Genomic DNA, 27,392 nt, shown 5'->3' on the forward strand with positions numbered 1-27,392 from the left:
CCCTCAGCTGGTACCGAAAATATGGTGCTGTCTTGAAATAAGTTTGTTCAGTCCATGCTCACTCCAAATCCAGGGAAAAGTATCTAAAAAGTTCCCTATAGCTTGAAGGAGGTTAGGCTTCATTCATAAATGTGGAAAGTTTCCAGCAGCCCTACCCAATAAGATACATCAAATGAAGTCACCCTCATCTTCGTTCTTTTTATTTATTTATTTTTCATTCCTTTTTTTTTTTTTTTGAGACAGGGTCTTGCTCTGTCACCCAAGCTGGAGTGCAGTGGTGTGATCTCAGCTCACTGCAACCTCTGCCTCCCAGGTTCAAGTAATTCTTCTGCCTCAGCCTCCTGAGTAGCTGGGATTACAGGTGCATGCCACCACGCTCGGCTATTTTTTTTTTTTTTTTTTGTATTTTTGGAGAGATGGGGTTTTGCCATGTTGGCCAGGCTGGTCTTGAACTCCTGACCTCAGGTGATCCACCCACCTCGGCCTCCCAAAGTGCTAGGATTACAGGCGTGAGCCACTGCACCTGGCCCTTGTCTTCATTCTTCAGGAACAGAGGAAAGGACTGGAAAGAACAAGTCTTCTTGTTAAGGGAATGGTTGGGTTGAAGAAATCACAGGAGAAAGCCCTTGTCCGAGCAGGAATATCCACTTTATTTGGACTCCATGACACCGTTCCTATGCCCTTGACTAGATGTGAATGTATTATACATTGTTCTAGATTTGGGGGAAAAAAATCTCTTATGACATAAAATTGGTAGGGAATGGGTTTATCAGAAAGGGGATACAAAACATACCCTAAGCTCCAAATCATTCACTTCTTCTTGGGTAAAGAGCTAACTGAATGAAAGAAATTGATTTAACACTTAAATTAGACACCAACCACCTTTATTGGCTGCCACCCTAAATTAGTTTTCCTTAAAACAGTAATATTTCACTTTTACTGTTTTTTTTTTCCATTAAAGCAACACCATTGTGCTGCAAAACTAACTCTATGCAATTAAGTACCTGATACATGTTTTCTGCTTTTAACAAGTGATAGAAAAGGTTACATCATCTCATTAAGAAAACATTTTCCTTAGACATTTCGTTTGGTTTTGGTTTTCTGTTGAAAGAGTTATAGCAGATGGCTATTTCAAAGATTGGTTCTTTCTCCTTTCACAAGTCGAGCTCGAAACATCCAAATATCCTGGAAATAATATCAAACAGAGTGGGTTTATGGAACACTTCAATCTGCCCTCCATTAACCTTCAATTTCACCATAACACAAAATTGATTTCTAGCTTCTATGAAAGGTTACATAGGGAAAATAATCCCTGTAAGTTATATTCATTAGTAAACAAAACAACTCAACTTAAACTACTTACTCAACTCTTTTTTAAAAATTTTTTGGGGACACAGTCTCACCCCATTGCCCAGGCTGGAGTGCAGCGGCTCACTGCAACCTCTGCCTCCCGGGTTCAAGCGACTCTCCTGCCTCAGCCTCCCGAGTAGCTGGGATTACAGGTGTGCACCACCACGCCCAGCTAACTTTTTGTATTTTCAGTAGAGACAGGGTTTCGCTACACTGGCCAGACTGATCTCAAACTCCTGGCCTCAAGTGATCTGTCCGCCTTGGCCTTGCAAAGCCTCCCAAGTGCTGGGATTACAGGTATGAGCCACCACTCCTGGTCTACTTAACCGACTTCTAAAACAGTGTTAACTAAATTAAGTCAGTGGGTCCCCCAGCTGCTGTCAGTTCTGTTTTATTCAGGATATTTGTTGGTGCCAGCTAACATAACTGGGTCAATGTCATGTCGGGTTACAGAACAAACAGTTCACTGCCATTTTTCTGCATAATTTTTTTTTTTGAGACGGAATTTTGCTCTTGTTGCCCAGGCTGGAGTGCAATGGTACCATCTTGGCTCATTGCAACCTCTGCCTCCTGGGTTCAAATGATTCTCCTGCCTCAGCCTCCCAAGTAGCTAGGATTAGAGGCATGTGCCACCACACCCGGCTAATTTTATATTTTTAGTAGAGACGGGGTTTCACCATGTTGGTAAGGCTGGTCTCAAACTCCTGACCTCAGGTGATCCACCCGCCTCAAACACCCAAAGTGCTGGGATTACAGGAGTGAGCCACTGCACCTGGCCTGATGACTCTTATGTTACTTGTCTGAGCCTTTTTGAGTGTTCTACTCTTGATGAGATGATAATAGTGAACATGGTATCAAGGATTACTGCTTTGTTTGGTGGGTTTCTTCCCCCTCTGCCCTTAATAAAATAATTTAGATGTTCTTATTTCTTGGTTCTTGTTTATTTTTGAGCAAACAGCAAGGTATGGTGGAAAGAATAATTTTCAGATTTGACCTGACTCTAAAATCAAGCTTTGTCGCTTAGCTAGCTTAGATCAGCCTCTGGGATTTGTTTTCTTGTCATTGACAGCATGGAGTTTATACTGCCCCACCGGGTTTTGGTGAAGAAAATAAGAAAATGAATATGAATGTGCTTTTGTACTTTACAGAGAACTATGTAGCAGAGGTTAATATTGTTATTCTAAATATAACTTACAGAGTAATTAAACTAAATGTGGGAGGTATTCATTTAGCACAACCTTGACAAACCTCAAACATAATGTACATATATTTGTTCTCCCTTAAAATTTAGGATGTTAGCTCAAAGCTCCAGTTGACAAAATGTATAGGCATTTTAGGTACTGAACAAAAAGTGAGGAAGGACAAGAATTTCTAGGACCTGCAAATGCAAAATCAGAGCATTTTCAGAGATGCGACACATTTCCAGGTTCTAAAGGGAGAAGCAAGATTCCTTCTTTTGTTGTTGTTGAGACAGAGTCTCGCTCTGTCGCCCAGGCTGGAGTGCAGTGGCATGATCTCGGCTCACTGCAAGCTCCGCCTCCTGGGTTCACACCATTCTCCTGCCTCAGCCTCCCGAGTAGCTGGGACTACAGGCATGTGCCACCAGACCCAGCTAATTTTTGTATTTTTAGTAGAGACGGGGTTTCACCATGTTGGCCAGGAAGGTCTCGATCTCCTGACCTTGTGATCTGCCTGCTTTGGCCTCCCAAAGTGCTGGGATTACAGGCGTGAGCCACCTCGCCCAGCCATAAATACTCTATTCTATATTAATAAACATGGCCTATGATTGGATCTCAAACCTATAACTTTCCTTCTATCCCTTCAGAAGGCTTTTTTTTTGACACATGGTCTCACTCTGTCACCCAGGCTGGAGTGCAGTAGTGCAATCAGCTCACTGCAGCCTTGACCTCAAGCTCCAAGTGAGCCTTTCAACTCAGCCTTCGAGTAGCTGGGACTACAGCTATGCTCCACCCAACCTGACTAATTTTTATTTTTATTTCTTTTTTAGTAGAGATGGAGTCTCACTGTGTTTCTCAGGCTGGTCTCCAACTCCTGAGCTCAAGTGATTCTCCTGCTTTGGCTTCCCAAAGTGTTGGGATTTACAGGCATGAGCCACCATGCCCAGCCAGAAGGCAAGGTTTTGTCTTTGATTTTCTCTCATCTCAATCTGTAGTTTTGTTTTCCTTTACTGTCCTGTGTGAAACAGGACAGCCAGCACACCTCTGGACAGCCCCAAGACATAAAGAAGCAGCAGGAAGTTCTCAAGCCTCCTGCACGGGGGCACAAGTGTAAATGGAAATTCCATTGTCATTTTTGGTGGGGGCTCAGCGATGTCCCTAAAATGAATCTAAACCCAAGCACTATATACTGTCAAATAAACTAGGTATGAGAATTATGAAGCATCTGAAGAAAAGAAAAACCTGAGATTTTTACCTTGCTATTGTATACAAACATACCTTCAAGTTCACGCTATTTTCAGCTCCAAAGAATTTATGTGCTATTCCTACAACTTCCTTCTCGATGTTTTCTTGACTGGTGCCCTTCACGTCAATGTAGTGGCAATCGGCACTGGCGAAATGGCAGGAAATTGCCTGTGCAAAGTGAACAAATTGATATTGGAGAAAAACATCCCATGAATACCAGTGACCAAGCAGGGAGTCTTTCTTTTAGAAAGTCATTTATTTCACTCAGTATTTGATTTCTAAGTGGAAAGTCAGGTCCATTGCATCCTGTGTCAATCTCTTTGTAACTAAGCCTGTTTTTGTTTCCAGCTAGAAGTTAATTGAGAAATTTCAAAAGATCGTTAACCAGATGTGACATGTATTTTTGAAAGGTATATATGGGAGAGGGAATGGAATTATGTCAGTAAGAGGTATTTAGTTTTTTTTTTTTTTAGCATTTTATTTTCCTAATGAATGAATATCCCAAAGTCTTAAGAAGGACTGCATTCCACGGCAGTTTATCTCATAAGTTAGTTACCTGGTCCAATTTGGGATGAATTGTTATTTCAGTGGCAATAGATTATGAAAAGAACTAAAAATACCTTGAGATAGAAAATAATGCAGACACCTTCTCTCAAATCAAAAGGACATTTAAAAGCCAATACCAGTGACATATATTACCCCTCTTGCTTCCTTCTGAGGGTAAGGATGAAATTGCTTGGTTCTCCCTATTTTAGAAAAAGTTATAAACAGATCTAAGCTGCAAGGCAATCGTTAAAACTTACCTTTTTTGTCACAAGTGATCACACTTGTCAGAAAGACTTTCTACTTTGCCCCAAACAACAAATTTCTAGGGAGTGGAGTCACAAACTCCATTGCCTCTGTAAGCCCTGGTGCCATACGGCACTGTAACAGAGCCCAAGGCAAAGGGAAAACACGCACCCCTATATCTGTATCTTTATGAAATTATAGTAATATTTTCCCAGAACATTAAAGTCATTAAGCCTGGGCACGGTGGCTCATGCCTGTAATTCCAGTACTCTGGGAGGCCAAGGCAGGAGGATCACTTGAGGCCAGGAGTTCAAGACTCGCCTGGGCAACATAGCAAGACCATGTCTGTACAAAAAATGAAAAAATAAAATTAGCCAGGTGTGGTCATGCATGCCTGTAGTCCCAGCTACTTGAGAGGTTGAGGTGGGAGGATGGCTTGAGCCTCAGTGTTCCAAGATGCAGTGAGCTATGATTGCACCACTGCACTCCAGCCTGGGCAAAAGAGCAAGATGCTGTCTCAAATAAATATATAAACAAATAATAAAATGTTTTAAAATAAAAGCATTAAAAAACATTGGGCCAGGCGAGATGGCTCACATCTGTCATCCTAGCATTTTGGGAGGCCAAGGTGAGACGATCACTCAAGGCCAGGAGTTCGAGACCAGATTGGCCAACCTGGGGAAACCCCATCTCTACTAAAAAATACAAAAATTAGCTGGGCATAGTGGCGTGTGCCTGTAGTCTCAGCTACTCACGAGGCTGAGGCAGGAGAATTGCTTGAACCTGGGAGGCCAAGGTTGCAGTCAGCTGAGATTGCATCACTGCAATCCAGCCTGGGCAACAGAGTGAGACTCCACCTCAAAAAAAAAAAAAAAAGAAAAAAGGAAAATTGCCAAGTCTATATATTAAAACCCACAACATGATTTGTGTCGTTGTGCCTGCACCTCGCTACTTGCACAGCTCTGAAGGTTGTGCTAGTGTGGGGTCCAATAGTGTCTTTTATTTAAACTTTTGGCATTGTGCGCAGCCAATACATTGGGTATTTTGCATTAATTTTGATTTTTTTAAATTTCGCATTAAAATGTTACTAAACTCGATTGCAGAGTCTTTTTTTGGCATCCCCTTACATTTTACCCCTGGAGAGAGTGCCCCAACTTGTCCCACCCTAATCCTGACCCTGATGAGGCTGGTGGAAATATGAATGAATGGAAGACGAAATTTGGCCCCTAACCCATGGCCTCAGGAGACAACAGTGATTTTTTCTTTTTTAGTAGAAGTGGGGTCTCGCCATGTTGCCCAGACTGGTCTAGAGCTCTTGGTCCCAAGTGATCCTCCCGCCTCAGCCTCCGGAAGTGCTGGAATTACAGGCATGAGCCACTGCACCTGGCTTTCATAATCAATTTTTTTTTTTTTTTTTGAGACGGAGTCTCGCTGTCGCCCAGGCTGGAGTGCAGTGGCGCGATCTCGGCTCACTGCAGACTCCACCCCCTGGGGTTCACGCCATTCTCCTGCCTCAGCCTCCCGAGTAGCTGGGACTACAGGCGCCCGCCACCTCGCCCAGCTAATTTTTTGTATTTTTAGTAGAGATGGGGTTTCACTGTGTTAGCCAGGATAGTCTCGATCTCCTGACCTCGTGATCCACCCGCCTTGGCCTCCCAAAGTGCTGGGATTATAGGCATGAGCCACCGCGCCCGGCCCATAATCAATATTGACAAGGTTAGGATCCTGAGGTCACCTGGCTTCTTACTGATAAGAGCACAGAAAGCCCAAGGTAAGCAAATATATTTCCTGGTAAATAAACTGGACTAAAGTCCAGGTTGGTTAAAAGCCACAAATCTTTAAAATGTTAATGCAATTTAATTAAAATTTTATTCAATTAATTTGAATTCAATGAATTGAATACAATTTTTGTTTCTAACCCACACTTCTGCAGCAGGTGCAGCAATGTGAATGCTTACCTTCCGGAATCCCTGGGTTTTATTCTGACCAGATCCGTGGATGAGCAAAGGATGGAAGAAAACAGTGTCGCCCTTCTCCATCACCAGGTGCACCCGGGCCTTGTTTTCCTCGTAGTCCTGGATCCCGTGGAACATTTTGTTAACTCCCCCCTAGAACAAGAGGCAAGTGAAGTCTACATTTGAGGGAGTACCATAATTAAAAACATTGTCAATGGTTCATCAGGGAAAGCAAACATCAGGGAAAGAAAGCATTTCTCTCTCCCAAGAGAAATAAATGTCTAAATTAAATGCTTACATTTTTTTCAGTATACAAAAGCCTCTCAGATATCTGGTTTTTAAGAGTCACATTTTGGCCGGGCATGGTGGTTCATGCCTGTAATCCCATCTCTTTGGGAGGCCAAGTTGGGAGAATTGCTTATGCTCAGGAGTTTGAGATCAGCCTGGGCAACATGGCAAAACCCCATCTCTACAAAAACTGCAAAAATTAGCTGGGCGTGGTGGTGCCAGCCTGTGGTCCCAGCTACTCAGGAGGCTGAGGTGGGAGGATCGATTGAGCCGGGAGGGGGAGGTTCCAGTGAGCCATGATCACACCACTGCCCTCCAGCCTGGACAACAGAGCAAGACTCTGTCTCGAAAAATAATGGTAATAAAAAAAAAGAAGTCACATGTTGATATTAAAATCACTGATTTTTTGGAGGAAATGAACAGTGTGGAATTTCCACCTGCCCTTCATGACTGCATTATACATGAAGATCTAGCTTAGCTTTGCCTTTTGTGGTTAATGCAGGCAACCACCTATCTCTTGGGCATTTCCAGCCTGAAACTGTGAGTGTTCCCAGTGTGTTCTCCTCCTCGCCCAGAACTTTAAATAAATCCTTCATCTCTTACTCAGGAGTGTCTCTGAGAAGCTATTTCCCCAAAATAGGGGGGAGAAAATGCTCAATTTTTCTGAGCTCAAAGGCACTTATGTTACATCCAGAATAATGAAAGAATAGTAAATTAAAACACTGTGTTTGTTTGTAACTATTTCCCAAATTAGTTGCTACTTTAGGTAATGCGGTTATGTCTTTATTAAAGAAATTGACATGAGAAGCACCTTAGGAGTCAGGGTAAGGGAAGCAGCCCATTCCTCTTCCTAAGAGCATCCCCAGTTCCTTCTGGGAATGACGACATCCCTCTTAGACAGTGCTGAGACTCTGACCCAGAGCCCTTCTCTCCTGGCCAGGGTGAATGTGTGACCCACACTAAGCTAATCATACCTCCCACTCTGCATCTGAGCAGGGTATCTGAGACTCCACACGCTCTGGAAGCCCTGCAAACTTTTCCCTTTGCCTTCTGTCAGCCAAAGCCCACTGCAGTTGCATGCACCAAACTTTAAACCTTGGCTTCACTGATGAGTTTCACATTAAATGGTTTTATATCAGGATCCAGACACTCACATATTTTCATTTGACACTAATTATTGGTGCAAGAAATCTGAGACGTTCTATTATTATTATTATTGTTATTACTGAGATGGAGTCTTGCTCTGTCGCCCAGGCTGGAGTGCAGTGGTGCGATCTCAGCTCACTGCAACCTCCATCTCCCAGGTTCAGGCAATTCTCCTACCTCAGCCTCCCGAATAGCTGGGAGTACAGGCACACACCACCATGCCTGGCTAATTTTTGTATTTTTAGTAGAAATAGGGCTTCACTATCTTGGCCATGCTGGTCTCAAACTCCTGACCTCAAGTGATCCACCCGCCACGGCCTCCCAAAGTGTTAAGATTATAGGCGTGAGCCACTGTGTCCAGACGAGTTAGGAGTTCCTAAAACCATGTTCCTCATTTCCTATCGAACTACAACTCATTCTCCCTGCTTTAACAATGGGGGCTCTTTCCATTCGCAGCATCATGGGATTCCAGGATCTTTTCTTTTCTTTTTTTTTTTTTTTTGAGATGGAGTCTTGCTTTGTTGCCCAGGCTGGAATGCAGTGGCGCGATCTCAGCTCACTGCAAACTCCACCTCCTGGGTTCAAGCTATTCTCCTGCCTCAGCCTCCTGAGTAGCTGGGACTACAGGCGCACGCCACCACACCAGGCTGATTTTGTATTTTTAGTAGAGACAGGGTTGCTCCATGTTGGTCAGGCTGGTCTCGAACTCCTGACCTCAAGTGATCCGCCCACCTCAGCCTCCCTAAGTGCTAGGATTACAGGCATGAGCCACTGCGCCCAGCCCAGGATCTTTTCTTTTTCTTTTGATACGGGAACTTGCTCTGTCACCCAGGCTGGAGTGCAGTGGCACCAACATAGCCCACTGCAGCCTCGAATTCCTGGGCTCAAGTAATCCTCCTGCCTCAGCCTCTGGAATAGCTGGGACTACATGCATGCGCCACCATGCCCAGCTAATTATTATTATTATTATTTTTAGAAATGAGACCTCACCGTGTTGCCCAGGCTGGTCCTGAACTCCTGGGCTCAAGCGATCCTCCCACTTTGGCTCCCACAGGGTCTTTTCACCTTAGACCTAACGCGTTAATAGTCATCTCTCTGGTTTCTTTGCTTCTAGATGCCTATACCTCTAACGCGTCCTGCACCAGAACGTGACATTACTGTCCTTGAAGAGCCGATTTGATCCCATCACTCATGAGCTCAAATGCATTTAACATTTCCAAGCATCAGCAGCTGAATGGATGAACAAACCATGGTTCACGGTGCAGCCATGCAATGGAATACTACTCAGCAAGGGAAGGGAAAGAACTACTGTTGGCCAGGCGCGGTGAGCCCAGCACTTTGGGAGGCCGAGGCAGGCAGATCACGAAGTCAGGAGATCGAGACCATCCTGGCCAACATAGTGAAAACTCGTCTCTACTAAAAATATAAAAATTAGCTGAGCATGGTGGCTTGTGCCTGTAGTCCCAGCTACTCGGGAGGCTGAGGCAGGAAAATTGCTGGAACAAGGGAGTCGGAGGTTGCAGTGAGCCAAGATCGTGCCACTGCACTCCAGCCTGGTGACAGAGTGAGACTCTGTCTCAAAAAAAAAAAAAAAAACAACAAAAAACTACTATCATACACAACAGCATCAATGAACCTCAAAATCACTACACTGAGTGAAGGAAGCCAGAACGGGACAAAAAAATCTATACTATGTGATTACATGTCTATGACATTTTAGAAAATGCAAACTAACCTGCAGTAACAGAAAGCAGCTCAGTGGTTGCCTAGAGCAGGGAGAAGGATGGAGTATCTTGATTGTGGTGATGATTTCACAGGTATGTGTGTGTGGAAAATGATCAAATTATACATGCAAAATATGTACAATTTACATGACAATTATACCTCAATGAAACTGTTTATTTGTTTAATTGTTTGTTTTTTAATTAAAAGCTCTTCAGCCAGGTGTGGTGGCTCACGCCTGTAATCCTAGCACTTTGGGAGGCAGAGGTGGGCGGATCACGAGTTAAAGAGATCAGGACCATCCTGGCCAACATAGTGAAATCCCGTCTCTACTAAAAATACAAAAATTAGCTGGGTGTGGTGGTGCGCGCCTATAATCCCAGCTACTCGGGAGTCTGAGGCAGGAGAATCACCTGAACCCAGGAGGCAGAGGTTGCAGTGAGCCGAGAACGTGCCATTACACTCTAGCCTGGTGACAGAGTGAGACTCCTCAAAAACAAAACAAAACAAAACACAACAAAAAAACAAAAAGGGTCTTCGATCTTCCTAAAAGTTTGAACTAAAAAGTTCCCATTCTTCCCCCAAATAAACTGCAGACTTGTTAGTAAAACAGTCTTTTCTAATCTGGTCCTAATGTACATTTTTGGGCTCACCTCCTCTGCTGCTCCCCAAAATACACCCCCAGCGCCCAGCCCATCTAGACTGCAAGCTCCCTGGGTCTTTCCTGTTCTTTGGTCAAGTTCAGGCTTGCCCTTGACCTTGTGCCTTCCTATATCGACTCTTCCCTATGGGACATTGTACACTGTCCTGCAAGGCTCAGGTCAGACACCAGCCTCCCCAGATCCTTTGCTGGTCTCTGCAGTTGCAAGGAGACAATCTCTCCTTCCTTACTCTGAGAGCCATCAGTTAGTGAGTAAGACTGACTTGGTGTCTACCACACACATCTGGGGTCGAAGGGTTTATGTCTTACCTCTGCAGCTAGGACTTACAATCTCGGATCCTATACAGTACCTACCCAAGCTCCCCACCTTGGCTGGCTTTCAAACACGTGTTAAGGGCAGGTACAGTGGCTCATGCCTTTAATCCCAGCACTTAGGGAGGCCGAGGTGAACAGATCACCTGAGGTCAGGAGTTCAAGACCAGCCTGGCCAACATGGCAAAACCCTGTCTTTACTAAAACCACAAAAATTAGCCGGGCGTGGTGGTGCACACCCGTAGTCCCAGCTACTAGGGCGACTGAGGCGGGAGGATGGCTTGAACCTGGGAGTTGGAGGTTGCAGTGAGTTGAGCAAGACCCTGTCTCAAAAACAAACAAACAAAAAAAGTGTTGAAAATAGGTGTGATGAATGTTTTCTCTGACATCCTTGAACTTTCTCTGATCCTCACTGCAAATCTTAGGACAATGTTTTGCTCAGAAAGGAAATGCCATCTCATTTGTAAACTCTTTAGAGGTACTGATGTGAAACAGAAACTGCGAAGGAGATTCGGATCAAGACTCAGCCGCCGGGCAGACCTACCTCCCACTTGGGGTAATCGTGGGGCTTCAGGGAGCCCTTGTGTGTGCCTGGGAGCACAACCAGACAGCCGTTGTTCCGGCTGATGTGCTCCATCGCCGTCCAGGCGCAAACGATGAGATCGCTGGGCCTGAAGGGGAAATAGTGCAGGTCCTGGTGCAGGGGGTGACGGGACGTCTTCTTGCCTGAAAAGAAAACCTGCTACTAAAGGATACTCGAGGCCGAGTGCAGTGGCTCACGCCTGTAACCCCAGCACTTTGGGATATAAAAATATATCCCAAAGTGGGAGGCTGAGGCAGATGGATGGCTTGAGCCTGGGAGTTCAAAACCATCCCGGGAAACACAGTGAGACTCCGTTTCTACAGAAAACAAAACAACAAAACAAAACAAAACAACAAAAACAACTAGCCGGGTGTGGTGGCATGCACCTGTAGTCACAGCTACTTGGGAGGCTGAGGTGGGAGGATCACCTGAGCCTGGAGGTCGAGGCTGCAGTGAGCTATGATTGCACTGCTGCATTACAGCCTGGGTGACAGAGAGCGAGTCCCTGTCCCCCACCCCCAACCAAAAAAAAAAAAAAAAAAAAAAAAAAGCTGGTCTCAGAATTCTTATCCTTTGCCTGAAAAAACAATGACCTGTCCCCAGAAGAACCAAACAAATGAAATAATGCTAGAGAAAATCAGCCCCGGAGAGATAAACACCAAATTGGAAATCAACACACTGGCTCCACATCTTCAAATCCCGCACTCCCTTCTTCCGGGTTGCTGGTAGCTAAGTACTTATGCACACTATTTTCCAGCAAGCGGTATAACATCCTCATCTCTGTTGTGCTTTATTCTTTGTTGTTATTGTTTTTTGAGACGGAGTCTTGTTCTGCTGCCCAGGCTGGAGTGCAGTGACGCGATCTCGGCTCACTGCAAGCTCCGCCTCCCAGGTTCACGCCATTCTCCTGCCTCAGCCTCCCGAGTAGCTGGGACTACAGGCGCCCGCCACCACGCCCGGCTAATTTTTTGTATTTTTAGTAGAGACGGGGTTTCACTGTGTTAGCCAGGATGGTCTTGATCTCCTGACCTCGTGATCCGCCCGCCTCGGCCTCCCAAAGTGCTGGGATTCCAGGCGTGAGCCACCACGCCCGGCCTTGTGCTTTATTCTTTTGTGACCCTGGATTGGGCACAGTACCTAGCATGCAGTAATGCATGTTCAAAAACCAGTTGCATTAATTACATTGAAGAGAGTGATATGGAGTCAAGTTTGAAATCCCCTTTGAAGTGGCTGATGTCAAAAAAAGTTCTAAGCCACGTGTAGTGGCTCACACCTGTAATCCCAGCACCTTGGGAGGCTGAGGCAGGCAGCTCTCTTGAGGTCAGGAATTTGAGACCAGCCTGGCCAACATGATGAAACCTCGTCTCTACAAAAATACAAAAATTAACTGGGCATGGTGGTGCACACCAGTACTCCCAGCTACTTGGAAGGCTGAGGGCTGAGGCAGGAGAATCGCTTGAACCCAGGAGGCAGCAGGTTGCAGTGAGTCAAGATCGCACCACTGCACTCCAGCCTAGGCGACAGAGTGAGACTCTGTCTCAAAAAAAAAAAAAAAAGAAAAGAAAAAGAAAAAAAAACACACAAAACAGGACGGGCACGGTGGCTCACGCCGGTAATCCCAGCACTTTGGGAGGCTGAGCCGGGTAGATTGCCTGAGGTCAGGAGTTCGAGACCAGCCTGACCAACATGGTGAAACCCTGTCTCTACTAAAAATACCAAAAAAAAAAAAAAAAAAAAAAAAAAAAAATTAGCTGGGTGTGGTGGTGGGCACCTGTAATCCCAGCTATTCAGGAGGATGAGGCAGGAGAATCACTCAAACCCCAGAGGCAGAGGTTGCAGTAAGCCGAGATTGAGCCACTGCACTCCAGCCTGGGCAACAGAGCAAGACTCCATTTCAAAAAAAATAAAAATAAAAAAAGTTATCTAAGAGGTCCTCACCCCCCACAACTATAGTCATTCCATGTCCAGTCGGAGTGCCCATGACCACACTGACATTTTCCCCTGGTTTGCTCCCTGAGTGTGGCTCCCGAACACCTGCTCTCCTCAAGGAGGGAGAGACCTGGTAATGCTAAGCTGCCTTCTATCACATAAACCCCTCCTGCAGATCAGAAGGAAGAAAAGGCAGAAAGGATAGGGGGACTCTCTCATGGCTGATTTTTACTGCAGGCACAGAGGAATTTCCCAGTGTAGTCCAAGTGATCTGCACTACAATCTCTGGACTTGAACTCCTGGGCTCCAGCGATCCTCCCCCCGCAGCCTCCTGAGTAGTTGGGACCACAGGTGCACATCCACGCCCAGCTTGAGGAAGGTTATTAAAATACAGAAACCTGGGTTATATTTCTCAATCAGTCTGTCTGCCAATGAGGTCTTAGATTCTACATTTTAGCAAGCACAAGACATTTTAAAGACAACTATAGGCTGGGCGCGGTGGCTCACACCTGTAATCCCAGCACTTTGGGAGGCCAAGGCAGGTGGATCATCTGAAGTCAGGAGTTCGAGACCAGCCTGACCAACATGGCGAAACCCTGTCTCTACTAAAAGTACAAAAATTAGCCAGGCTTGGTGGCACATGCCTGTAATCCCAGTTACTTGGGAGACTGAGGCAGGAGAATCAGGAATTGTTTGAACCTGGGAGGTGGGGGTTGCAGTGAGCCAAGATCGCGCTATCGCACTCCAGCCTGGGCAACAAGAGCAAAACTCCATCTCAAAAAAAAAAAAAAAAAAAAAAAAGACCACTATAGTTTGTGACTCATAGTAACAATTTTAATTGTGTTAGTAATAATAATGTCTTCCTATCAGGAATGCAAGAATCCACACTATCACAGCTAAAAAGAGCTGATCAAGCTTAGAGACGTCGAATGGCAGGAACCTTTGATATATGAACAGTTATGTCGGTTAAACTGCATTTTTGGGGAGCCAGTCATCTGAAAATTCAGCAACAGTCCTACAGTTAATATCTGAAATAATTACCACATTTCACTGTTGTTATAGTGTAAGTTATTTTAAGACTTCCTTATCCAAAGTTTGACAGTTGTACACATGATTACAGTTAGACATCAGCTATTTTATTATTTTGTTTTGTTTTGTTTTATTTATTATGTAGAGATAGGGTCTCACTGTGTCACGCAGGCTGGAGAGCATGCCATTATAGGTTCACTGCAGCCTTCAACTCCTGGGCTCAAGTGATCCTCCCACCTCAGCCTTCCAATAGCAGGGACTACAAGTGCATACCACCATGCCTGGATATTTTTAAATTTTATTTTTAGAGACAGAGCCTCACTATGTTGCCCAGGCCACTCTCAAACTCCTGGCCTCAGAGATCTTCCTCCCTTGGTCTCCTAAAATGCTGGGATTACAGGCATGAGTTACTGCACCCAGCCAACCTTACACATTTTAATGAAACCATTTTTTTTTCTTCTCCCTTACAATTACCAGAATCTGGAGGTTTGTTTATCAACATTGTGTGCATGGCCATAATATTAGGTCCAGTGAAGCACTCCACATATTTCAGAATCTAAGAAAGCAAAAAAAAAACAAAAACAAACCTTGTGGGAAATCAGAAGTATTGACAACTGGTACAAAGTACAGTAGCTATCCACACAAGAACCAAGAAGGCAATAGTTTAAGAACCAAGCGGTATTTCACAACATTGCAAACAAAGCATGAAAAACCCAGCCATTGGAAATCATTCTAAATCTATAACACGGAATGAAATGGGCTTTTTCTGAGCTAGCTGGGAATGAAACCATTTTTTCTCTACAAGAAACATAGGAGTTCCGATGAGATATTAATATAGCTTTCTTGTCAACCCAAGCAACAGAAGGTTGCTCAGTGGGAGGGCAGTTTCCTCTTCCTCATTGGAGCCTCTGCATACGAAGAGTCCCATACAATTCACAGCTGTCATGAATAGCCCGGAAGAAAGCAGAATGGTGGCTTGGAGGACATTTGACAATCGGGGACGCTTGGCACTTGACAACTCATTACTGAGATCTGGGAACCAGGAGGTGACGGGAAATGGGGAAGCAAGAGTGAACAAGCAAAGCAGGTCCCAGGAGTTAGATGAAAAATGTTAACCCAGTAATGACATGGGTCAGAGTGGCCGAGGGACACTGCATTATGAAGAAAAGGCTAACATGGGGAACCGTGACAGGGAGAGCTGGTTTAGTCGTGGGGCCTGGGAGCTGGGCTGCCGCTACCTTGTGTACAGAACCCAGCAACGGAGAGGGAAAAAGCAGAAAGGGCTCAACACTGAGGTCGGGTGCGTTAGCGCACACCTGTAATCCTAGCACTTTGGGTGGCCGAGGCGGGCGGATCACTTGAGGTCAGGAGTTCAAAACCAGCTTGGCCAACATGGCAAAACCATATCTCTACTAAAAATACAAAAATTCGCCGGGCATGGTGGCACACGTCGGTAATCCCAGCTACTTGGGAAGCTGAGGCAGGAGAATCACTTGAACCCAGGAGGCAGAGGTTGCAGTGAGCTGAGATCATACCACTGCAGTCCAGCCTGGGCAACAAGAGTGAGACTCTGTCTCAAAAAAAAAAAAAAAAAAGAAGAAGAAGAAGAAAATAAAACAACCCATGATATTCAAATTTTGATTCTGCAAAAAAAAGACTCCAAAAAATAAGCCACCTTCTACTGCTTCCTCACTTTTTGATCTCTTGTGTATAAGGAATATTGGCAATTTGAGTATGAAACCCTGGAAAGGTTATTAAAAGCCTAGCAGTCAGGCACACACTTGCTTTTTATAAAGCCTGGTATTTTTTTGTATTCATCTAGGCTGGGATTTTCTAAATGCCAGCCATTCAAGAGCCATCCTCACAACTTCTGACATAACTTGTACTGTTATTTAGCCAATGATTTCCCTACCCTTAGTTAGCTCACTTGTTTTTTGTTTTTTGTTTTTGTTTTTGTTTTTTTTGAGATGGAGTCTCGCTCTGTTGCCCAGGCTAGGTGCAATGACATGATCTCGGCTCACTGCAACCTCTGCCTCCCGGGTTTAAGCGATTCTCCTGCCTCAGCCTACTGAGTAGTTGGGATTACAGGCGCCCGCCACCATGCCCAGCTAATTTTTGTATTTTTAGTAGAGACTGGGTTTCACCATGTGTCTCAGGCTGGTCTCAAACTTCTGACCTCGTGATCTGCCCACCTCGGCCTCCCAAAGTGCTGGGATTACAGGCATGAGCCACCGCGCCCGGCAGTTAGCTCACTTCTCTTATTCAATCTTTGTTTTTTTCTTTTTTTCCAATATAGACAATGGTCTCACTATGTTGCCAGACTGGTCTTGAACACCTGGCCTCAAGTGATTCTCCTGTTTCAGCCTTCCAAAGTGCCACTTCGCCTGGCCTTTTTATTTAATCTTGTCCTAATTAACAACATTTTTGAAATCATGAGTTTGGTAGACTGTTGAGTTTTTTTCCAATACATTTAAAAATAAATATCTATTAAAATAATTTATACCTCCTAAAATCATGGCATAGACCACCAGATACTGGTCCCATTCTTCAGAAATGTAGGACACTGGCCAGGCGCAGTGACTCATGCCTGTAATCCCAGCACTTTGGGAGGCCGAGGTGGGTGGATCACGAGGTCAGAAGTTCGAGACCAGCCTGAGCAATATGGTGAAACCCTTTCTCTACTAAAAATACAAAAATTAGCCAGGTGTGGTGGCAGGCACCTGTAAACCTAGCTACTTGGGAGGCTGGGGCAGGATAATCACTTGAACCTGGGAGGAAGAGGTTGCAGTGAGCCGAGATCGCACCACTGCACTCCAGCGTGGGCAACAGAGCGAGACTCTGTCTCCAGAAAAGAAAACAAAATAAAACCCACTGATTTTACTCAATTCAACTCCTTTCCATATCCAGCTCTAAGAGCAGTGGTTCCTGGGATCAAGCGATCCACCTGCCTCAGCCTCCCACAGTGCTCGGATTACAGGAGTGAGCCACTGCGCCCGGCCAAATCAGCGGGTTTTACAGGCAGACATACACACTGGCAATTAAGCCGACGCAAAGCAAGGGTGGTCTCTGACCTCGGGGAGAGTGCAGTATCTGAAGAGCTCCTTATCTTCCTGGAAATCCTGGACCTTCGTGATCATCTTCTCACTTGGAGCATATTCGGATTTCGAAATGGTCACATCTCTCATTACTGTTAATCCTAATGGTTTCACCTCCTTTCTGCAGATTTTTTCAAACTCATTCCTAGAAAATTTAATTTGCAAATGATGTCGTTACCGCTGGCTCCAAGCACCTGCCCTGCCCTCCTCTGTGGAAAGGGTTGCAGACTTGAGGGGTGGTTTCTCTGCACTAAGTTGGCCTCCAGCTTGAGGTAGAATAATTCCAATGAAAGGGAGGAGAAACTGTCTGGCTAGAATCCATTCCCAGAATTAAATTATTCCCTAGTTTAGCATACCAGTAGGGAAGTCTTTTTATAATTTGGTTACATTGTAATAATAATAACAGCAAACATTTCTGTAACACTTACCATGTGCCCAGCTCTCTTCAAAGTGGTTTCCATATATTTCACCGTATTTAGTCCTAATAACAACACTAGGACATAAGTGCTATTATTATCCCCATTTTACAGATGAGGAAACAGAGGCATGGGATGTGAAGTAAATTGCCCCAGGACACATGATATTAAGTGGTGGAGCTGAGACTGAAGCCCAGGCATGGTGGCTCCCGACTGTAATCCCAGCAACTCAGGAGGGTGAGGCCAGGAGTTCAAGACCAGCCTGGGCAACATAGTGAGACTCCCTGTCTCTAAAAACAAAGAAATAAAAAATTAGCTGGGTATGGTGGTGCACAACTGTGGTCCCAGCTACTCAGGAGGCTGAGGCAAGAGGATTGCTTGAGCCCAGGAACTTGAGGCCGCAGTAAGCTATGATCGCACCACTGCACTCAGCCTACACAACAGAGTGAGAACCTTTCTCTATAAAAAATAAAAAGCCAGTCTGGCACCAGAGCCCATGCTTCTAAACACTTCCCAACAAACCAAATCATTAAAAAACATCTGTAAAGCCAGGAGCGAATCCACCTTGTATTCTCATTACATGCACACAATACATACTATTGTAAAATAACAAATAGTGTTACTGTACCGAAAGCGTTGAATATCGGCATCAGGTACAAGATTTTTGATTACTAGAAACCCATTTTCTTCATAAAATTTTCTCTGTTCCAGGGTTAGAACGTTATTATCCAGAGTATACCTAAAGGAGAAAAAGAATCCCAAAATAAGTTACATTTTTAAATTACAGGCTAGGCACAATGGCTCACACCTCTAATACTAGCACTTTAGCGGGCCGAGGCAAGTGGATCACTTGAGGTCAGGAGTTTGAGACTAGCCCAGGCAACATGATGAAACCCTGTCTCTACAAAAAATACTGGTTGTGCCACTCCACTCCAGCATGGGCGACAGAGTGAGACCCTGTCTCAAAAAAAAAAAAAAAATTTAAATTACATCCTAAAAATATGTATCAAGAACCTGAGGCTAGGCGTGGGGGCTCATGCCTATAATCCCAGCACTTTGGGAGGCCGAGGCAGGTGGATCGCCTGAGGTCAGGAGTCTGAGACGAACCTGACCAACATGGTGAAACCCCATGTTTACTGAAAACACAAAGTTTAGCCAGGCATGGTAGTGGGCACCTGTAATCCCAGCTACCCGGGAGGTTGAGGCAGGAAAATCGCTTGAACTTGGGAGGCGGAGGTTGCAGTGAGCTCTGATCATGGCACTGCACTCCAGCCTGGGCGACAGAGCCAGACTCCGTCTCAAAAAACAAAAACAAAGACAAAAACAAGAACCTAGGAAACGTTCATGCTCTTCAATTCAGCATTTCTAAGACCAAGGAAATAATCTGAAAACTTACGCTTTATGTCACCAAAACAAGTGCATTAGTGGGCCGGGCACAGTGGCTCATGCCTGTAATCCCAGCTTTTTGGGAGGCTGAGGCAGGTGGATCACCTGAGGTCGGGAGTTCGAGACCAGCCTGACTCACATGATGAAACCCCATCTCTACTAAAAATACAAAAATTAGCGTGCCTGTAATCCCAGCTACTCAAGAGGATGAGGCAGGAGAATCGCTAGAACCTGTGGGGGTGGAGATTGCAGTGAGCCAGGATTGCACCAGTGCACTCCAGCCTGGGTGACAGAGCAAGGCTCCATCTCAGAAAAAAAAAAAAAAAAAAAAGTGCATTAGTGGAAGAAAAATTAACTAGTGACACTATGTTCACTCAGTGGAATATGACTCAGACATTAAAAATTAAGGCCATATAATAGTATGGATGGCGGGCACAGTGGCTCATGCCTGTAATCCTAGCTTTGGGAGGCTGAGGTGGGCGGATCACGAGGTCAGATCGGGACCATCCTGGCTAACACGGTGAAACCCGCCTCTACTAAAAATGCAAAAAATTAGCCCGGCATGGTGTCTGGCGCCTGTAGTCCAGCTACTGGAGAGGCTGAGGCAGGAGAATGGCGTGAACCCGGGAGGCGGAGCTTGCAGTGAAGCAAGATGGCACCACTGCACTCCAGCCTGGGCGACAGAGCCAGACTCGGTCTCAAAATAAAATAAAATATAATAAAATATAATAAAATAAAAAATAGTATGGACAATGCTTATTATAATAAAATATTATTACAATTATGTAAAACCAAGACACTATATGAAAAAAAGAAAAGCCTGCAAAGAAATACACCAAAGCAATTTTTAACAGTGATTGCCTTTAGAAATGGAATTAGGGATGATTTTTTAAAATTCCTTCTATTTCTCTGATGTTTCTGTAATGAATACATATGATTTTTCAGATGGGAAACAAATTCAATAAATTGTATATTTTTAACTGTCCAGTTGATGCATTCCAAGAAGGTAAAGTAACAAAATCCAAATAAATGTACAGCATACCCATAAACTCAAATCACCCAACCTATTCCTTAAGATCGGAATTGTGGTTGTATGAGAATATTTAGGAAGGTCAAGATCTTCCCCTTTAAAGGTGATTTAAGATAAACCAAAGATGCTAGCTAATATGTCCATATAACCAAATACAAGCTAATTTGTTTTGTTTTGTTTTGTTTTTTGAGATGGAGTCTGGCTCTATCACCCAGGCTGGAGTTCAGTGGCGTGATCTCAGCTCACTGCAACCTTGACTTCCAAGGTTCAAGCGATTCTCCCACTTCAGCCTCCTGAGTAGCTGGGATTATAGGTGCACACCACCATGCCCAGCTAATTTTTGTATTTTTTCATTTTGTAGAGGTGGGGTTTGTAGAGATGTTGGCCAGGCTGGTCTCGAACTCCTGACCTCAAGTGATCCACCTGCCTTGGCCTCCCAAAGTGCTGGGATTACAGGCATGAGCCACGGTGCCCGGCCACAAGTTAATTTAAATGAGATGTTTAACTGAATTTTTAAAAGTCAGATTATAAGGCTGGTGTGATGGCTCAGGCTGCAATCCCAGCACTTTGGGAGGCCAAGGCAGGAGGATTGCTTTAGCCCAGGAGTTCAACACCAGCCTGGGCAACATAGGAAGGGCCCGTCTCTATTAAAAATAAATAAATAAATGTCGGATTATGTATTTTCTGGTATTTTTCCTTCTTTCTGAATCTTAAAATACATACAGAAAATTAGTCGGTCTCCAAAATTTTCCACAAGTGCACTAATTAGAATAAGTCCTGGAAACAGAGGATTTGTATAATAAAATTCTAATCAGGTAACATATTATGTGGTATATCTTCATTACCACTCAAGAAACTTTTATATACATAATATATTTCAAAATCAAAACTCAAACTACTTACTGGAATTGTTGAGGATGGAAACTGGCAGAGGAAATAGTCCCTGAAGTGGGATGAGCTACCTAGGATGTGAATTAAGGCAAATAAAGTAAAATATAGAAGGCCAGGCACGGTGGCTCATGCCTGTAATTCCAGCACTTTGGGAGGCTGAGGCAGGAGGATTACTTGAGCTCAGGAGTTCGAGACCAGCCTGGCCAACATGGTGAAACCCCATCTCTACTAAAAATACAAATTAGGCCGGGGGCGGTGGCTCACGTTTGTAATCCTAGCACTTTGGGAGGCCGAGGCGGATGGATCACCTGAGGTCGGGATTTCGAGACCAGCCTGACCAATATGGTGAAACCCCATCTCTACTAAAAATACAAAAATTAGCCAGGCGTGGTGGCGTTCATTTGTAATCCCAGCTACTGGAGAGGCTAAGACAGGAGAATTGCTTGAACCTGGGAGGTGGAGATTGCAGTGAGCTGAGATCAGGCCACTGCATTCCAGCCTGGGCAACAGAGAGAGACTCCATCTCAGAAAAAAAACTACCACCACTACTACTACTACTACTACTACTACTACTACTACTACTACTACTGCTACTACTACTACTACTAATAATAATAATACAAATTACACTTGGGAGGCTGAGGCAGGGGAATGGCTTGAACCTGGGAGGCGGAGGTTGCAGTGGGCCGACATTGCAGAGTGCGGCACTGCACTCCAGCCTGACCACAGAGCAAGACTCCGTCTCAAAAATAATAATAATAATAATAATAATAATAATAATAATAATAATAACAACAATAACAACAACAACATAAATTCGCCTGGCATCGTGGCGCAACCCTGTAGTCCCAACTACTTAGGAGGCTGAGGTGGAAGGATCTCTTGAGCCCAGGAGTGAGCCGAGATCGTACCACTACTGCACTCCAGCCTGGGTGACAGAGTGAGGCCCTGTTTCAAAAAAAAAAAAAAACCAAAAAAGCAAAACCCTAGAAATTCCTTTTAAAGATCTCCTTTCTATCCGGTAACTGCAGAGAGTTGACATAGAATTGCATTGTTTCTTTAGCTTAATCGGTTACTTTCGGAATGTCACTCTCATCAATTAACATGTTATCCTTTCTTTCTCTCTGTTTCTCTCTTTTGGAACGCACTGGCCATCACGGCTCACTGTAACCCTGGACTCCTGGCCTTGGCCCCCAGAAGAGCCGAGACAACAGGCAAGGCGTGTGCCGCCGCGCCAGTCCTCACCCGCTGTCCTTCCCCAAATAGTGTCTTTATATAACTCAGTGGCAATGCCGTAGTCCAGCAGGGAGGCCGCCCTGGGCAGCGCCTGCCTGGCCAGCTCCTGCCCGGGAGGGCACCGTCCTCTCCCCTCCGGAGAGGTCCCGGTCACTGCCTGCCTGGGCCGGTTCCAGGCAGCCCTGCGCGCCTGTGCACCGTGCGCCTGTGATTGGACATCTCTGGGTCTCTGGACAGCTGCCGGGGTCACGCGCCGCCGGTGAAACGACGTCTCCACAAAGAGAGGAGCAGAGGCCCCCAGGGATCCCGGAGGGCAGGGCAACGCGGCAATTGCCCCGACCCCAGGGCGGCCGCGCGTGTCCTCGGGGGACGCAGCCTCTTCCCCGCTCCCCGGCTCCTGGAAGAGACGCGACCCAGGCGGGGACGCGGCGCTGAGCGAGGAGGCGCTGGGGCTGCGAAGCGTGCGACCCCGAGGCCTCCACCCGGACCAGGGCCACCACTCAGGCGGCGGCGCCGGCGCCGGATCCAGCCCGAGCCCCGCGCAGCCCAAAGGATACGACAGCCCCGGCCGAGGGGCGGCCGAGGTGGCCCAGAACAATCTGCAGACGGGCGGCGGCGCGAAGCTGCTCCATGGCTGCGGCGCGGGGAACCCCCACCCCTCCCGGCCTCTGCCCCATTTAGCCCAGCGGGCGGCTCCGCCTCCAGGCGCCGCCCCGGACTGGACGTAAGCGGGATTCCGGGCGGTGCCAGCTCGCGGGCCGGGCTGCTGGGGAGCCCTAGTCCGCTAGAGTCCGCGCGCCGGGCAACCGCCCGGGGCTGAAGTCCTCCCCACACCATGATCCTTCCGTCCTTTATTTTCTTTCTTTTTAAAAAGAAACAAGATCTTGCTCTGTCGCCCAGGCTGGAGTGCAGTGCGCGATCATAGCTCACTGCAGCCTTGAACTCTTGGGCTAATTTTTATTTTTTGTAGAGATGGGGTCTCGCTACGTTGCCCAGGTGGGTCTCAAACTCCCCCCGCCTCCCGTCTCGACCTCCCAAAGTGCTGGGACTACAGGCGTGAGTCATTACCCCTGCCCCGCACCCTGTTTCTGTTCCATCACCAGGACCCTCCCTGCCGCACCGAAGCTCGGGGGCCCAGTGACCAGGCCGAGGTCACACAGTGACAAGTGGCTGGGCTGGGACCTCACTCACTCTCCTAACGTCATGGCTTCCATCTGTTTAACCCTACGTGACTGCTCCTTCCACTGACAGCTGAAAGAATAAAATCTCCGATTTAAACAAAAAGTTTGCCGGGCGCGGTGGCTCACGCCTGTAATCCCAGCACTTTGGGAGGCCAAGGCAGGCGGATCACGGGGTCAGGAGTTCGAGACCAGCCTGGCCAACTTGGTGAAAACCCGTCTCTACTAAAGATACAAAAATTAGCTGAGTGTTGTGGCGCACGCCTGTAATCCCAGCTACTGGGGAGGCTGAGGCAAGAGAATCACTTGCAACCGGGAGGCGGAGGATGCAGTCAGCGAGATGGCGCCACTGCATTCCAGCCTGGGTGACAGGGCAAGACTCCGTCTCTAAACAAACAAACAAACAAACAAACAGGTTTTTAGCCGGGTGCGGTGGCTCACGCCCGTAACTCCAACACTTTGGGAGGCCGAGGCAGGAGGATCGCTTGAGCTCAGGATCGCTATAGATCGAAAGCAGCCTGGGTAACATAGTGAGAACACCTGATCTACAAAAAAATTAGCCGGGCGTCGTGGCGGGCGCCTGTAGTCCCAGCTACTCAGGAGGCTGAGGCAGGAGAACGGTGTAAACCCAGGAGGCGGACCTTGCAGTGAGCGAGATGGCGCCACCGCACTCCAGCCTGGGCGACAGAGCAAGACTCCGTCTCAAAAAAAATAAAAAATAAATCAATAAATTAAATAAATAAAAATTCCAGACATTGTATGAGGAAGCATTGCAAAACTTTCTGTTCTGTTAGCTGTTGCCTGTAGCCCCCAGTCATGTTCCCCACGCTTGCTCGATCTCTCACTAAACTTTCACGTAGACCCTTAGAGTTACAAGCCCTTAAAAGGGCCAAGAATTTCTTTTTCAGGGACCTCGGTTGCAAGTCTGCCGAAGTTCCCGGCCTAATACAGCCCTTCTTTAATCCGGTGTCTGAGTTTTGTCTGCGGCTCGTCCTGCTGCAGGAGGATCACCTGAGCCCGGGAGTTTGAAGTTGCAGTGAGCCCAGATCGTGCCTCTGCACTCCAGCCTGGGCGACAGAGTGAGGCCATGTCCAAAAAACACAAAAACAAAAAACAAACAAAACTCCAAAACATCAATGAAGTTTTGAAAATAAAAATAAAAAAATAAAAATGCTAAGATGCATCCCTAAAAGTCATATGTGCCATTCAAAAGGGGTATTTCATTTAGTGGGACTCCAGCCCAAAATATTAGAAAGTTCGGTTGGTCATAAAAAAAAAAAAAGTGAATAAAATAAATGACCTCCAGAAAAGTCTGATGCACACAGGCCAGTATGGTGTAAATTTCTTAGATAACTCCAGCATCTCTTTGTAAGATTTATTTTCCATTCCATAACTACGGATATTGACATAGCATCTCATTGTTTCTTTAGTTTCATTTTTTCATTGATTTTTTGTTCTTTTTTAGCTTCGAGTTACTTCCAGAACGTCGCAGCACACGTTATCACTTCCTGCATGACGTCTTTATAGAATTTGGTGACAATGTCGCAGTCCAGGAGGGAGGCCCGCAGCCAGCATCACCAGCCCCTTCCTGTTTGCACAGGCAGGGAGGAGAACGGCAGCTCCCAGGCTTCCACTGGGGAGTCCCTCCGGCTTTCTCCGGGATTCCGCCCGCCCCAGGGTCTCAGACCAACAGAAGGACCCGGGATCCCTCAGCAGCTCCGGACCTCATCTGCCCCACTTCGGCATCCCGCGCGGGAATATGACCATGTAGGAGTAACCCGGGGCTCTCAAGGACTCTACGGTTTGTCACGGTTTGAACGCAAGCGCAGGGCCTGGGGCGGGTGCAGGTGGAGGGTCGGCCTCTTTCTGCCCTTGGGAACGCCCCTTTCTGGATGTGGACCGGCGAGGCGGTCTCTCCTTTCTGCCCTCGCCTGGTGAAATGTGGGCACTGCTGCCAGGAGAAAAAAAACTGAAGCTGTGAATTCAGTTCATCACCCTTCCCTTGTTTATTAAAAAATCGGACCTTGGCCGGGCGCGGTGGCTCACGCCTGTAATCCCAGCACTTTGGGAGGCCGAGGCAGGCAGATTAGGAGGTCAGGAGATCGAGACCATCTTGGTTAACACGGTGAAGCCCGGTCTCTACTAAAAATACAAAAAAGTTAGCAGGGTGGTGGCGGTCGCCTGTTGTCCCAGCTGCTCGGGAGGCTGAGGCAGGAGAATGGCGTGAACCCGGGAGGCGGAGCTTGCAGTGAGCCGAGGTCGTGCCACTGCACTCCAGCCTGGGTGAAAAAATAAAAAAAAAAAAAGATCAGGACCTTTACCCGCGCTGACGGTGATTGGTTTTCATGACCAATAAAGAAATTCGAATGAGATGAAGCTACTTACACCTGTGTTTTTACTGTTCCTTTAAAATGCCCTAATTTCACAACCATGTGAAAATTCCTGCCATCTCTCCCCCAAGGCATTTATACAAGGATGTACTTAGATATTTAGATGTATTTAAATTTATGCTTTTCTTTTCTTTTTTTTTTTTTTTTGAGACGGAGTCTGACTCTGTTTCCCAGGCTGGAGTGCAGGGCGTGATCTCGGCTCACTGCGACCTCTGCCTTCCGGGTTCAAGAGATTCTCCTGACTCAGCCTCCTGAGTAGCTGGGATTACAGGCGCGCCATCAAGCTCAGCTAATTTTTTGTATTTTTAGTAGAGCCAGTTTCACCATTTTGGCCAGGCTGGTCTCGAACTCATGACCTCAAGTGATCCGCCCGCCTCAACCTCCCAAAGTGCTGGGATTACAGGCGTAAACCACCGCACCCGGCCCAAACTGATGCTTTTTACCGACAGATGAAGGAAATTCTTAAATGCTCACAATTGTTATCTGCCTTTTTAAAATTAGAGGGATGCTGGGTTTAACATTTTTCATTTAAGATCCCACGGAGAATTAACATAATAATTTCTCCGTAGGTAAAGAGGTAATTTGATGAATGTTACTAGTTTTCTTTCAAATAGCTATTTGGATTATTGGAAAATTCCCTAAGTAGGCATCTTTAATAATTATGTTATTAAAATAAAAATATTTTAGAACAATTGAAGCAGAACATTAATGGAATGTAAACATTATCACAAGAATGAAAAGTTCTTTCCCCTTTGGTATTAGGCATTTATTCATTTCTTATTAAAGTTGACCTTTTGAAGATTACTTCAAAATTAGCTTCCCCCCACTTCCAGTAATGTGCTTGGTTACTTACGTATTGAAAGTAACCTTGCAGACAAGTTTTGAAACACAATTTTCAAAATGATCTAAGGAATAGTTTTCCCCATATATATAAATTAAATGATTTGTTAAATAATAGCCATATTTGAACAGCTAAGTAAAATGTTTGAGTTTTAAAATCTTGGATTAAATTGTTCAAACTGGCTAGGGGAAGTGGGTCACGCCTGTAATCCCAGCACTTTGAGAGGCTGAGGCAGGTGGATCACCTGAGGTCAGGAGCTCCAGACCAGTCTGGCTAACATGTTAAAAACCCGTCTCTACTAAAAGTACCAAAAAAAAAAAAAAAAAAATTAGCTGGGCGTGGTGGCACATGCCTGTAATCCCAGCTACTCAGGAGGCCGGGGCAGGAGAATCGCTTGAACCCGGGAGGTGGAGGTTGCAGTGAGCCGAGATAGCGTCATTGCACTCCAGCTTGGGCAACACGAGTGAAACTCCATCTCAAACAAAGAAACAAACACAAAAACGAAAACCAGAAAACAAACAAACAAACAAAAACCCCAGAAAATTAGCTGAGCGTGGCACACCTGTAGTACCAGCCACTTGAGAGGCTGATGTGGGAGGATCGCTTGAGCCCAGGAGGTGGAGGTTGAAGTGAGCCAATATTGTGCCACTGCACTCCAGCCTGGGCGACAGAGCAAGACTGTGTTTCAAAAACAAAATAATAAATTAAATAAATAAATAAATAGTTGAAGCCAAGCATGGTG

The 27,392-nt window shown here is 45.9% G+C and overlaps 1 protein-coding gene and 1 long non-coding RNA gene across 7 annotated transcripts, besides 7 other annotated features; one reads left to right on the plus strand and one right to left on the minus strand.

The window, feature by feature from the left end:
- Positions 630–22,895, minus strand: PHYH (phytanoyl-CoA 2-hydroxylase). 6 transcript variants are annotated; one of them, NM_006214.4, is made up of 9 exons: positions 22,799–22,895; positions 21,018–21,076; positions 18,327–18,437; positions 17,259–17,427; positions 14,662–14,743; positions 11,191–11,372; positions 6,521–6,670; positions 3,807–3,941; positions 630–1,185 (listed from the first exon to the last, which is right to left on the minus strand). In NM_006214.4, exons 1-9 carry the CDS (start codon positions 22,871–22,873, stop codon positions 1,132–1,134), a joined length of 1,017 nt encoding a protein of 338 aa, NP_006205.1. In that variant the 5' UTR covers positions 22,874–22,895; the 3' UTR covers positions 630–1,131. The 6 variants fall into 6 exon arrangements, with proteins under 6 accessions (NP_006205.1, NP_001310011.1, NP_001310009.1 ...); NM_001323082.2 differs by having other exon boundaries at positions 14,656–14,743; NM_001323080.2 differs by lacking the exon at positions 22,799–22,895 and adding an exon at positions 22,251–22,594.
- Positions 21,885–22,505: an enhancer, noted in NCBI's record as "H3K27ac-H3K4me1 hESC enhancer chr10:13341054-13341674 (GRCh37/hg19 assembly coordinates)". NCBI's record gives its function as "activates a minimal SCP1, AML or CMV promoter by ChIP-STARR-seq in naive H9 embryonic stem cells {active_cell/tissue: H9 hESC(naive)}" and the evidence as "EXISTENCE:reporter gene assay evidence [ECO:0000049][PMID:30033119]".
- Positions 22,482–22,901: a silencer, noted in NCBI's record as "silent region_2152". NCBI's record gives its function as "represses an Ori minimal core promoter by ATAC-STARR-seq in GM12878 lymphoblastoid cells {active_cell/tissue: GM12878}" and the evidence as "EXISTENCE:reporter gene assay evidence [ECO:0000049][PMID:35858748]".
- LOC124902377 (uncharacterized) lies at positions 23,020–25,799 on the plus strand. The gene is made up of 2 exons (XR_007062056.1): positions 23,020–23,237; positions 24,885–25,799. It is a non-coding gene; the product is annotated as an uncharacterized LOC124902377 (long non-coding RNA).
- Positions 23,082–23,221: an enhancer, noted in NCBI's record as "active region_3051". NCBI's record gives its function as "activates an Ori minimal core promoter by ATAC-STARR-seq in GM12878 lymphoblastoid cells {active_cell/tissue: GM12878}" and the evidence as "EXISTENCE:reporter gene assay evidence [ECO:0000049][PMID:35858748]".
- Positions 24,597–25,097: an enhancer, noted in NCBI's record as "H3K27ac hESC enhancer chr10:13343766-13344266 (GRCh37/hg19 assembly coordinates)". NCBI's record gives its function as "activates a minimal SCP1, AML or CMV promoter by ChIP-STARR-seq in primed H9 embryonic stem cells {active_cell/tissue: H9 hESC(primed)}" and the evidence as "EXISTENCE:reporter gene assay evidence [ECO:0000049][PMID:30033119]".
- Positions 24,597–25,243: a biological region, named in NCBI's record as "H3K27ac hESC enhancer GRCh37_chr10:13343766-13344266".
- Positions 24,954–25,243: an enhancer, noted in NCBI's record as "active region_3052". NCBI's record gives its function as "activates an Ori minimal core promoter by ATAC-STARR-seq in GM12878 lymphoblastoid cells {active_cell/tissue: GM12878}" and the evidence as "EXISTENCE:reporter gene assay evidence [ECO:0000049][PMID:35858748]".
- Positions 25,434–25,583: an enhancer, noted in NCBI's record as "active region_3053". NCBI's record gives its function as "activates an Ori minimal core promoter by ATAC-STARR-seq in GM12878 lymphoblastoid cells {active_cell/tissue: GM12878}" and the evidence as "EXISTENCE:reporter gene assay evidence [ECO:0000049][PMID:35858748]".

This window comes from Homo sapiens, chromosome 10, assembly GCF_000001405.40.
Source record: "Homo sapiens chromosome 10, GRCh38.p14 Primary Assembly".
Taxonomy (NCBI): domain Eukaryota; kingdom Metazoa; phylum Chordata; class Mammalia; order Primates; family Hominidae; genus Homo; species Homo sapiens.

What these genes read in the sequence shown, in the direction of transcription:
- PHYH (NM_001323082.2), bottom strand. Translation starts at nt 22,873, where the DNA reads ATGGAGCAGCTTCGCGCCGCCGCCCGTCTGCAGATTGTTCTGGGCCAC. An exon ending in TTCCATCCTCAACAATTCCA is followed by an intron (nt 18,438 to 21,017) that starts GTAAGTAGTTTG and finishes TTTCTCCTTTAG; the next exon opens with GTATACTCTGGATAATAACG. An exon ending in GCCGATATTCAACGCTTTCG is followed by an intron (nt 17,428 to 18,326) that starts GTACAGTAACAC and finishes TAAATTTTCTAG; the next exon opens with GAATGAGTTTGAAAAAATCT.